Source organism: Homo sapiens, chromosome 7, assembly GCF_000001405.40.
Source record: "Homo sapiens chromosome 7, GRCh38.p14 Primary Assembly".
NCBI classification, from domain to species: domain Eukaryota; kingdom Metazoa; phylum Chordata; class Mammalia; order Primates; family Hominidae; genus Homo; species Homo sapiens.
The window spans coordinates 151,595,773-151,608,976 of NC_000007.14; the positions used below are offsets into that span (position 1 = coordinate 151,595,773).

A 13,204-nucleotide genomic window follows, 5' to 3' on the forward strand; every position below is an offset into this window, starting at 1 on the left:
ATCTAAAAAGAATGAGTTTAGCAGGGTCATAGAATTAAATCAGGGTTAATAAAACAAAGACAAAGCTAATCGAATGGGGAAAAGTTGGAAGCTTTCCCTTCAAGATCTGGAACAAGGCCAGGTGCATTGGCTCACACCTGTAATCCCAGAACTCTGGGAGGCTGAGGTGGAAGGGTCACTTGAGCCCAGGAGTTCGAGACCAGCCTGGGTGGCATAGCAAGACCCAGTTTCTACAAAACTAATAAAATAAAATAAAAATAAAAATAAAGGGGAAAAAAAAGACCAGGAACAAGACAAGAATGCCTGCTGTTGCTACTCTGTTCAAGGTAGTACTGGAAGTCCTTGTCAGAGCAGTCAGGCAAGACAAAGAAATAAAAGGCATCCAAATATGGAAACAAGGAAGTTAAATTGTCCCTGTTTGCAGATGACATAATCTTATATATGGAAAACCCTAATGACTCCATCAAGAAACTGTCAAAACTAATAAATTCAGTAAAGTTACAAGATATAAACTCAACATAAAAAATCAGTAGCATTTCTATACACTAATAGACAACTATCCGAAATAGAAATAATAAAAGAATCCCATTTACAATAGCTACAAAAAAACAAAATACTCAGGAATTAATTTAACTCAGGAGGTGAAAGACCTCTAGAGTGAAAACTATAAAACACTGATGAAAGAATTGAAGCAGACCAGGTGTGGTAGCACGCGCCTGTAATCCTAGCACTTTGGGAGGCTGAGGCAGGCAGATCACCTGAGGTCAGGAGTTTGAGACCAGCCTGGCCAATATGGAGAAACCCCGTCTCTACTAAAAATACAAAAATTAGCTGGGCATGGTGGCACAGGCCTGTAATCCCAGCTTCTCAGGAGGCTGAGGCACGAGAATTGCTTGAACCTGGGAGGCGGAGGTTGTAGTGGGCTGAGATTGCGGCACTGCACTCCAGCTTTGGTTACAAAGTGAGACTGTCAAAAAAATAAATAAAAATAAAAAAAAAGAGGAAGAATTGAAGAAGATACAAATAAAAGGGAAGATATCTTGTGTTCATGGATTGGAAGAATATTGTTAAAATGACCACACTATCCACTGTGATCTACAGATTCAATGCAATGCCTATCAAAATACCAATTCTTCGCAGGACAAGAAAAAAAAAATCCTAACATTTGTATAGAACCACAAAGGACCCCAAATAGCCAAAAGAATTTTGAGCAAAAAGAACAAAGCTGAAGATATCACACTACCTGACTTCAAAATGTACTACAAAGCTATAATAACCAAAACAGCATGAAGCTGGCATAAAAACAGACACACAGACAAAGAGAATTAGAAAGCCCAGAAATAAATCCACACATTACAGCCAAATGATTTTTGACAAAGGTTCCAAGAATACACACCGGGCAAAGGGTGGTCTCTTCCATAAATGGTGCTGGAAAACCTAGATATCCACATGCAGAAAAATGAAGCTGGACTCCTATCTCTCATCAGATACAAAAATCAATGGAAAATAGATTAGAGACTGAAAATCTACGACCCAAACTACGAAACTACTAGAAGAAAACATAGGGGAAATGCTTCATGACTTTGGTCTGGGCAAATATTTTATGGATAAAGCCTCAAAAGCACATGGAACAAAAGCAAAAATGGACAAATGGGATTATATCAAACTAAAAAGCTTCTATCCTGCAAAGGAAATAATCAACAGAGTGAAGAGACAACCTACAGAATGAGAGAAAATATTTGCAAACTATACATCTGATAAAGGGTTAATATCCAAAACAGATTAGGAACTCAAACAACTCAACAGCAGGAAAAAAACCCCAAATAATCTGATTAAAAAATGGGCAAAAGAACTGAATACACATTTCTCAAAGAAGACATACAAATGGCCAACAGGTATATGAAAAAATGTCCACCATCGCTAGTCACTGGAGAAATGCAAATCAAAACCACAATGAGATATCACCTCACTCCAGTTAGAATGGCTATTATAAACAAAACAAAACAAAACAAAAGATGAGTGTTGCTGAGGATGTGGACAAAAGGGAGCCCCCCCCCCCGCTCTTTTATTGAACTATTGGTGGGAATGAAATATAAATTAGTAGAGCCATTATAGAAAACAGTACAGAGGTTCCTCAAAAAATTAAAAATAGAATTACCCTATGATCCAGCAATCCCACTACCGGGTATATACCCAAAGGAAATGAAATCAGAGTGTTCATGACACATGTGCACTGCCATGTTGAGTGCAGCACTATTCACAACAGCCAAGACATGGAATCCACCTAAGTGTCGCCAAAAGATGAATGGATAAAGAAACGTGGTACCTATAAACAATGGAGTACTATTCAACCATAAAAAAGAATGAAATCCTGACATCTGTGAGCACAGGATGAACCTAGAGGACACTGTGTTACATGAAATAAGCCAGGCGTGGAAAGACAAATACCATCCCATTCATCTGTGGAATCTAAACAAGCTGATCTCACAGGAGTAGAAAGTAGAGAGTGGTTACCAGAGGCTGGGGAGGGAATGGGGTGGGGGTATGAGGAGAGGTTGGTCAGTTACAGTCAGACAGGAGGAATGCATTCTGGTGTTCTATTGCACAGTGGGGTGACTATAGTTAACAATAACGTATTGTATAGTTCAAAATAGCTAGAAGGGAGGATTTTGAATGTTCCTGCCATAAAGAAATGATACGTGTTTTAGGTGACAGATATACTAATTATCCTGATTTTATCAGTACACAATATATACATGTACTAAAACATCAAACTGTATCCCATAAATATGTACAATTATGTGTCAACCAAAAATAAAACTTAAAAAAAGGAAAAAAGTACAATAAAGCAAATGCAAATAGAAAAAAAAGGCTACTATATTTGTATCTACTAACTCATTGTTAGCAGACAGAAATTTAAAAAAATTTTAAAGGTACTATTTACATAAATGCTGTATGGAAATACGGACTTACACAGGGAACAGAGAGCACTGAAAATGGTAACAATGTGGACAAATATACAAATGCTTTCAAAAATTATTTAAATCTCTCTAAAAGCTAATTGACAATTTATTTTTTTATGTATTTTTTTTTTTTGAGACAGAGTTTAGCTCTTGTTGCCCAGGCTGGAGTGCAGTGGCTAGATCTTGGCTCACTGCAACCTCTGCCTCCAAGGTTCAAGAGATTCTCCTGCCTCAGCCTCCCGAGTAGCTGGGATTACAGGTGCACACCATCACACCTGGCTAATATTTGTATTTTTAGTAGAGACGGGGTTTCACCATGTTGGCCAGGCTGGTCTTGAACTCCTGACCTCAGGTGATCTTGCATGGCTCGGCCTCCCAAAGTGCTGGGATTACAGGTGTGAGCCACTGTGCCCAGCCCTAACTGACAATTTAAACAAAAATAATGACAATGTATTGTGGGGTTGATAGCACACTGATAAGGAAAAGGCAACACCGTCCAACCAATCATGGAAATCTAGGAGTCACCCTTGCCAATGTCCTCTTGTCACCCTAACCAATTTATCACAATGCCTTGATTTTGCACCCCAGAACCCTCAAATCCACTCATTTCTCTGCCTCCATGGCCACCCCCTACATATCCTAACTTCCTCACCAATCCTTCTGCCCCCTGCATCTTCCACAGCTGTCCACACTGCATCCAGGAAGATTTTGCCAGATGCAAATATAATCTAATCCAGATGCTTTAGAATAAAGGCAAAACCCTTGAAGTCACCTAGAACAGCAGTCCCTAGGACTGGTTTTGTGGAAGACAATTTTTCCACTGGGGGTGGTAGTGGGTGGTTTCAGGATGAAACTGTTCCACCTCAGATCATCAGGCACCAGATTCTCATCAGGAGCACACAACCTAGATCCCTCGTGGGCACAGTTCACCATCGGGTTTGGACTCCTATGAGACACTAAAGCTGTCCCTAATCTGAGAGGATGCACAGCTCAGGCCATAATGCTGGCTCACCCGCCCCTTGCCTCCTGCTGTGCAGCCCATTTCCTAACAGGCCAGGGAACTGTACTGGTTCATGGCCCCAGGATTGGGGACCCCTGACCTATAAGACCTGGGAGGCCTGGCCCCCGCCTACCTCCCTGCCTCTTGTATTAAACACTCCTGCTCCGTATTTTCTCCAACCCCCTATTTTTTTCCAGTCCTCCATCAGTGCTCTGCTGTCTCTTCCATGGGGCCTGACACTACTGCTTCCTCTGCCTGAAATACTTTCTCCGTCTGTTTGTGGCCCAGTGAACTCCTTCATTAGACCTTGGCTCAAGGATATGACTGGTGAGTCATGGAACCTGAATTTGAACTTGAAGCCTCTGGATTCCAAAGCTGTGTTCTCAGCCAAGCTGATCCCCCTCCTTCCCTCGGCCCGCCACAACTGCTTTCCCCGTTCTGCCGAAATCCTTCCCTATTTTCATGGGTCAGTCCAAATTATGCCATCTGCAAGAGACATCCTTGACAGCTCCATTCAGCCCACACCGATCTGTGCATTTTAGGAAGATCTGGACTACTTGGGAAATATCTGAGAAGAAAAACATGTAGTGTATAAGCTAATTAGCAAAACAAGTGTTAAACAAGTGATACTAACCAAGCTCTTTGGCTGTGGAAAGGAGCCCCACAATTTTGTATATTTCCTACTGTGGACATCCATGCAGCTGGTTTGCCAATTTCATGACAAATGATGTGGACCACTCTCAAGTCTATTTTCATTCTGACCTCTCTTTGGGATATTACAATTTATAATGCAGAGTTTTGTCACTGCAACTGCCTCCTGGATATTTCTCTCTCAAATGTCTCCCTCCTGATGTGGAATAAATTCCAGACGTCTCCTGTCTCATTCATGCATCTCCACATCTGGCTTCTCCGCAGCCTTATTTCCCAGCTCCTGGTTTCATGTCTAAGCAAACGGTCTCCCTGTCAGTCTCCTGTAGCCTTTGACCTCTCCCTTCTTGCCCTTGTTCACTCACTTGCCTTAAACGTCCTCCTCCTTGACTTTTCCTTGTTCAATTTCAATCCAACCTCAACGGACATCTTTTCCCACAAAAGAAGTGAACGTCTGAGTGCTCATTACGGACCAGGTACTGCAATAAATCACCTCACTTAACTGATGTGACAACCTCGAGGAATACAGCTTCATTTTTTCATTTTACCTCTGAGGAAACCGAGGCTAGGAGAAGCTGCGTCACTTGCCCCAAATCAGACGGTGAAGTAGTGACCCAAGCGGGATTTGAAGCTCTGTCCCAGGCTCCAGTAGCTCCTTATTAAACTCACTTCCCTCACTCAACGGTGCGCTCATCTGAGCGCACCTGGGGAGGACCCCTGTGTCCTGGGCCCTGTCCTGGGGTTACCCACAGGGGGACACAATGACCGGTTATCCACCCTCAAAGCTTATGCATCAGCCCAGGGTGAGCACTGGATCACCTGAGAACACACAGGTGGGTCACCAACCCTGACCTGGAAAGGGTAAGGAAATCTAAAATGACTTCTTCCCCTGAACGCCAACAGCATTTTACTTCTGTCTCATCAGTTATTACCTTCTATCTCGTTAACAGTGACTGTGTATTTCTAATATTTTTTTCCTTCCTGGGTGATAATTTATTTGAATGATCAGTATCTTACTCAAGTAATCCATACATTAATTCAGTCTATAAATATTTATTGCATATTGTCTAGTGTGCATTCCTCCCAAAGCTGATCCTGAGACCATGGAAAGTTAGGGGAGGAAAAATTCAAAAGAAAGGGTGCCCAGTAAGCAGGTTATACCTTCGTGACCCTGGAGTGAAGCTATGAGGGAGGATGCTCTGAGGCTGTACAGACCTCAGAACTGTCTCGTGGGAGGACCACTCCTGCCCTGCCTGGGTTCCAGGTAATTCCTGGGACATCACCCCCGTCATTTCTACCCACAAGCCCAGTTGCCAAAGAATGTCCTGGGGCAGAGATGTTGAAATATGAGAACTTGGATGAGACAGGATTCTGGTGAGGCACCCGCAGCATCCACTGTGCGAGAGGCGGGGATGCCGCAGGGAAGACAACAAACACAACCCTTGTCCTTACAGACACTGCAAACCAATGGAGGGGACAGTGACTGTCATCACACTGCCACCAGCACTACCAAGGACAAGCTCGGGGTTCGTGAATGAATAGCAGCGGCTGTCAGGGAGGGAACGGATGGACAGATGAAGTTTCAGTTGGTGTGCTCCCATGTTTCTCAAAACACTGATAGACTAGACAGTGAGGGCCCTGCTTAAGAAAGGCCTGAAACAGCAAGCTCTCATGAGAGCGGCACAGAGAGATCTGGTCCGTGTCCGCCATCGCTGCTAAGGATGACGCTCCTCGCGCAGCCGCATGCGCAGTCTCCTCATGCCTACTGAGTGTGGAATTGGCGCAAAACAAAAGCCAAAGATCAGGGCAGTCAAGCATACATTCAGCCAGTATTTAAGTTACAAATTGCCTGCCAAATCTAACATCCTAAAATTCAAAAGCAAGAAATCAAGAGGGAGGCTAAGTATAGTAAAATGTAACAAACCATCTCCCAGAAAGGAAATCTCAGAAGATAATTTTGTTCATTCATTAAATCAAGAATTTTCATAAAAGAGGTACACATATTATAGACATATTATACATGTTAGTATTACTATATGAATATGTGAAATAATTGAAAATAATATAGGGCAGGAATGTTCAAACTTACAGAATTTTTGAAAATCTGTAAGTTTGGTGTTAGATTATATTTTTAATATACCATTTTAATGTGTTGATTTCTAAATTATTTCAATGAACATTGTATTTTGAATAAATATATGTTCCAGATTTACAAAAAAGTTGCAAAGCTGGAACAGTTCCTATATACTCCATATCAGGTTCCCCCAAGTTTATCATCTTACGTTATTGATATGGTTTGGCTTCGTGTCCCCACCCAAATCTCATCTTGAATTGTAGTTCCCATAATCCCCACGTGCCAAGGGCAGGACCTGCTGGGAGGTGATTGGATCATGGGGGCAGTTTCCTCCATGCTGTTCTTGTGATAGTGCCTGAGTTTTCAGGAGATCTGAGAGTTTTATAAGGCAGTTTTCTCTGCCCTCGCTCTCTCTGTTGCCTGCTACCACGAAAGACGTGCCTCTTCCCGTTCAGCCATGATTGTAAGTTTCCTGAGGCCCCTCCAGCCATGCAGAACTGTGAGTCAATTAAACCGCTTTCCTTTATAAATTACCCACCCAGTCTCAGGTAGCCTATTTAAAGCAGTGTGAGAACACACGGTTTTTCTCAGTCTTTGGGTTACACAGTTTCATTCTCATCATCACACGGAGGCACCCGCTCCATACTCACCACACACGGAGGCACACGCTCCATACTCACCGCACACGGAGGGACACGCTCCGTCCTCACCGCACACGGAGGGACACGCTCCGTCCTCACCGCACACGGAGGGACACGCTCCGTCCTCACCGCACACGGAGGGACACGCTCCGTCCTCACCGCACACGGAGGGACACGCTCCGTCCTCACCGCACACGGAGGGACACGCTCCGTCCTCACCGCACACGGAGGGACACGCTCCGTCCTCACCGCACACGGAGGCACCCGCTCCGTCCTCACCGCACACGGAGGGACACGCTCCGTCCTCACCGCACACGGAGGGACACGCTCCATCCTCACCGCACACGGAGGGACACGCTCCGTCCTCACCGCACACGGAGGCACCCGCTCCGTCCTCACCGCACACGGAGGGACACGCTCCGTCCTCACCGCACACGGAGGCACCCGCTCCGTCCTCACCGCACACGGAGGGACACGCTCCGTCCTCACCGCACACGGAGGGACACGCTCCGTCCTCACCGCACACGGAGGGACCCGCTCCGTCCTCATCATCATACTGAGGGTACACATGCCTTCTCATCCCATCCTATCCAGGGTGCCTAAAATCAACGTGACTCATCACCTTAATCACCTGAGTGAAGTCATATTTGTCAGGTTTCTCCAAGTAGAGGTACTCTTTCCCTCCTCCTTTATGTACTGTAATCTTTTTAAGAAGGTCACTAGGACCCCTCACTTAATGGCAAGGAGTTATGCCCTACCTCCTTGTTTAAAATAATTATGTACAGGAGAGTTATTTATTTATCTGATCATTTATTCATATCAGTGTAGACTCATGGATATTTACTTCAACCTAGGTATAATCCAATCCTAGGTTAGGAGCGGTCAGAGGCTGTGCCCCAGCCAGTCAGGCACCCACCTGTGGCTGATGGACTGGTGGGTGGCTTGTGGAGCCCTCTCCTAGTTAAGACAGTTTCCAAGCCTGCCATGGCTTAGACTTTCTGGCAGGTCCTCCAGCACTGCCTTCACACACAGGCAGCCCCCTAGTTGGCTGGGGAGCTGTGGGAGTGTGGCTTGGTGCTCCCTGCGTGGGCTTCCTCCGTCATCCAGGGAGGTGTGCAGAGCTGGGCTCTCCTGCCTCTGTCCTGCATGCACACAGCCTCCAGGGCAGCTGGAAATGTGTTTCCCCATCATCAACATCTTGCATTAGCATGGTGCAGCGGTTATAGTTAAGCAGCCAAGAAAATCATAATGAATGTGTCTAGGTACAGTGGCTCCCACCTGTAATTCCAGCACTTTGGGAGGCCGAGGCAGGAGGAGCCCTGGAGGCTAGGAGTTTGAGACCAGCCTGGGCAACATAGTGAGATCCCGTTTCTACAAAACATAAAAAAAATTAGCCAGGTGTGGTGGTGCACACCTATGGCCCCAGCCTACTCAGGAGGCTGAGGTGGGAGGGTCTCTTGAGCCAGGAGGTTGAGGCTGCAGTGAGCTGTGATTGTGCTACTGCCCTCCAGCCTGGGTGACAGAGCAAGACTCTGTCACACACACATACACACACACATACACACACACCCCAACAATGTATTAACAAAAGTCTCCACATTATTCAGATTTCCTTATTTTTTCCTTAATGCCCTGTGTCTGTCTCACGATCCCGTCCAGGATTCCACATGATGGTCGGGAGCATCTCCTCGGGCTCCTCCTGGCTGCGACAGTTTCTCAGACCCTCCTTGTTGTGATGGCCTTGGAAGCTTTGAAGTTCTGATGAGGCACTTTGGAGGATGCCCATTGGCTGGAAGAGGTCTCATGCTTTTCTCAAGATTAGAACCTCTGTAACTGGGTTCCAGGTTTGGGGGAGGATCTACGACATTTTTTAAAAATATAAAGCACTCGACCAAACAAAGTAACATGTTAAATATTTACTTATTTATTTATTTTGGAGACAGGGTCTCGCTCTGTCACCCAGGCTGGAGTGCAGTGGCACAATCTCAACTCATCGCAACCTCCACCTCCAGGGTTCAAGCAATTCTTGTTCCTCAGCCTCCTGAGTAGCTTGGATTATAGGTGTGGGAAAACAAGCCTGGCTAATCCTTGTATTTTTAGTAGAGACGGGGTTTCACCATGTTGGCCAGGCTGGTCTCAAACTCCTGACCTCAAGTGATCTGCCTGCCTGAGCCTCCCAAAGTGCTGGGATTACAGGTGTGAGCCATCACACCCAGCCGTAAAAGGTTAAATATTTAAAATAAATTATAATAAACCCTCTTTGAATGTGTAAAACCAGTTAAAAATAATTTTAAAAACAAAAATAAAATTTATAATAAAATTTCTTTAAAAAATTTTTTTAAATTAAATTTTATGGCTGGGTGCAGTGGCTCACGCCTGTAATCCCAGCACTTTGGGAGGCCAAGGCGGGTGGATTGCTTGAGAGGCCAGGAGTTTGAGACTATCCTGGGCAACATGGCGAAACCCCGTCTCTACTAAAAATACAAAAATTAGCTGTGCATAGTGGTGCATGCCTGTAATCCCAGCTACTTGGCAGGCTGAGGCACAAGAATTGCTTCAGGCCAGGTGCAGTGGCTCACACCTGTAATCCCAGCACTTTGGGAGGCCGAGGTGGGTGGATCACAAGGTCATGAGATCGAGACCATCCTAGCCAACATGGTGAAACCCTGTCTCTACTAAAAATAGAAAAATTAGCCTGGCATGATAGCACGCACCTGTAATCCCAGCCACACAGGAGGCTGAGGCAGAAGAATCGCTTGAACCCTGGAGGCGGAGGTTGCAGTGAACTGAGATTGTGCCACTGCACTCCAGCCTGGCGACAGAGCGAGACTCCGTCTCAAAAAAAAAAAAAAAAAAAAGAATTGCTTCAACCCAGGACATGGAGGTTGCAGTGAGCTGAGATTGTGCTACTACACTCCAGCCTGGGGAACAGAATGGTACTCTGCCTCAAAAAAAGAAAAATAATAATTAATTTTAAATAGAGATGAGGTCTTACTATGTTGCCCAAGCTGGTCTCAAACTCCCAGGCTCAAGTGATCCACCTGCCTTGGCTTCCCAAACTTCTGGGATTACAGGCGTGAGCCACCTACAAATTATAATAAAATTTCTGTTGAGTGGGAATAAGGACAGATTATTACTGATGTAATAAAACAACATCAATCACAACAAAAGTATAAGCTTTTTAAGCTAGGAAAATACAGTAAAATATAAAACGTTCCTTTTTAATGTCGCTTTTCTACTTTTAGTATAAACTTTACGATTATAGGTGGCACCATCTGTGTTAGTTACATTATGGTGAAGTCTCACATTGTACTTGGAGGAAGAAATAAATTGAAACAGAGTGAAAATGAGTGTAATTTGGAGTTATACAACAACAACAACAAAACCCACCCAAATTGTTCAACAACAGGCTGTTTAAAATATATTATCAAAATTCCTTGGCCGCGTGCGGTGGCTCACGCCTGTAATCCCAGCATTTTGGGAGGCTGAGCTGGGTGGATCACCTGAGGTCAGGAATTCGAGACCAGCCTGGGCAACATGGTGAATCCCCATCTCTATGAAAAATACAAAAATCAGCCGGGCGTGGTGACATGTGCCTGTAATCCCAGCTACCTGGGAGGCTGAGGTAGAGGAACGGCTGGAACCCGGGAGGTGGAGGCTGCAGTGAGCCGAGATCCTACCACTGCACTCCAGTCTGTGCAACAGAGCAAGACTCCGTCTCAAAAAAATAAATAAAATAAAATAAATTATCAAAATTCCTGAGAGGGCAAGAAGTTCCAACTCCATATTCAAAAGCTAACTGAGGTTAAGATATTAACACAATGCTCCCTTCTTGCTTTTGATATTTTCAGTGTTATAGGATAGAAGCATAATTACAGAGTATCACACTGGGACTTGAGTTACTGCTCTACAAAAGGAAGAAACCTGTTTGCAGACTGATGTTAAATCTCACTACTCTTTAAACAGATGCCAACCCAACATTATTATGCAAGGGAGTTGCTAAAGAAGAATATGAGTAAGTAGCAAGTTTATATTAAAGTGTTTAATTCATAAAGGTTAATAACAAACTTTTACAAATGCAACATCTAAGTTTAAATGCAAGCAATTATAAACACTAAATTGAAATATTGGAAGTATTTCTCCTATTAAAAACAAATCTGATTACATAATATGCTTGTTTGGTACCTTTGTTTGTTTTTTTGAGACAGGGTCTCACTCTGCCACCCAGGATGGACTGCAGTGGTGCGATCATGGCTCACTGCAGCCTTGAACTCTCAGGCTCAAGCAATCCTAGCAGCTGAGACTACAGATGCCTGCCATTACATCTGGCTAACTTTTTTATTCTGTATTTTTTTTTTTGTAGTGATGGGGTCTCACTATGTTGACCAGGCTGGTCTTGCACTTTTGGCCTCAAGCCTCAGCCTTCCAAAGCACTGTGGTTATAAGCATGAGTCACTGTGCCTGGCTGCTCGTGTCCTCCCTACCTACACAATATACCCTGTATCATTCAAGGTTCTAGAACTCGAACTCTAACCTACCTTTCCAGCCTCATCTCCTATCACATCCCCTAGGAATCTCATCTCTAGGATCATTTCAACATATCCTTTTCAAAGGAAGGGTTTGAACTTTGGGAAATCCAGTTTTGAGAATGCGTTCCTCATGCTTCTGTTCTGTGCCTCTGCACACACTATTCTTTCTTCCTCAACAGTGCCTTCCCTGTTCTCCTATGGTCACCTGACATCCTGCTTGCCTTTCTGCAGTGGGCTGAACAGTGGCCTCCGCAAAAAGACAGGTCCACTGGAAACATCAGAATGAGACCTTATTTGCAATAAGGGTCTCTGCAGATGTAACTAAGGTGAGGATCTGGAGATGAGGTTATCCCGGATTAGGGTGGGCCCTAAATCCAATGACAAGTGTCCTTATAAGAGAGAGAGAGAAGATGCAGCGCGGCACGGAGGGGAGGGCCACGTGAAGACAGGTGGAGGCTGGGGCGACGCAGCGACAAGCCAAGGATGCCAAGGACTGCCGGCAACAGCAGGAGCTGAGGGCAGCGTGGGGCGGATTCTCCCTCAGCCTCCAGAAGGAACCACCCCTGCTGAGGACTTAGGAACCAACCCTGCTGATGACTTACTCCAGACTTCTGGCCTCCAGAACTACAAGGAAATAAACTTCTGTTGTCTAAGCCACCAAGTTGTGGCATCCTGGGAAACTAATAGGCCTTCAAAGTTCAGTTCAAAGGCTACTTCCTCCCATAAAACCTTCCCTTTGAGCCCCTCAGGTCGGAATTAACTGCTCCAGTTTTGACATGCCTGTTAATGCTTCGTGAGTCACACACACCTTGTACTGAAGTTACAGGTCTGTTCTTCCCTTAGACATGCGCACCGGGGGGCAGCAGTGGACGTCCCTTGCTCTTCTCTATAATCCAGGCCCCTGGAAGGTTCATTGTAGATATCAGGCATGAGTTAATGCCTGGTATCTTGCAAGTCACTGAAGAAGCACAGATCAAATTTGAGAGGGGCAAGTACGGATCTGAGATGACTATATTGTGTTCCTGACCTCAGAGAGGAAATGTCAGCAAATGAAGCACGCAGGTTTAAAAGAACACTGGTGAATCTAGATTTAATAACCAGTATAAAAAAACAAAACAAAACAAAAACCTTTATATACCTTTATAAGATTAAAGGATTACCTTTATATTCCTTTATAAGATTAAAGGATTAGACATGGATTTTTTTTTTTGTAAGAGAAATAATGCACCTATGAAAGTGCCTCATGTGATTTTTTTCTCTTTCTTTCTTTCTTTTTTGTTCAAGATGGGGTCGCACACTATGTTGCCCAGCCTGGCCTCAAACTCCTTGGTTCAAGGGATTCTCCCACC

The 13,204-nt window shown here is 44.6% G+C and overlaps 1 protein-coding gene across 33 annotated transcripts in view, besides 1 other annotated feature; it reads right to left on the reverse strand.

Annotated features, from left to right (window-relative positions):
- PRKAG2 (protein kinase AMP-activated non-catalytic subunit gamma 2) overlaps nucleotides 1-13,204 on the reverse strand; it is a 320,989-nt gene that overhangs the window by 39,646 nt on the left and 268,139 nt on the right. The gene's annotated exons all lie outside the window — the stretch shown is intronic.
- Nucleotides 7,567-8,119: an enhancer, noted in NCBI's record as "OCT4-H3K27ac-H3K4me1 hESC enhancer chr7:151300425-151300977 (GRCh37/hg19 assembly coordinates)". NCBI's record gives its function as "activates a minimal SCP1, AML or CMV promoter by ChIP-STARR-seq in naive H9 embryonic stem cells {active_cell/tissue: H9 hESC(naive)}" and the evidence as "EXISTENCE:reporter gene assay evidence [ECO:0000049][PMID:30033119]".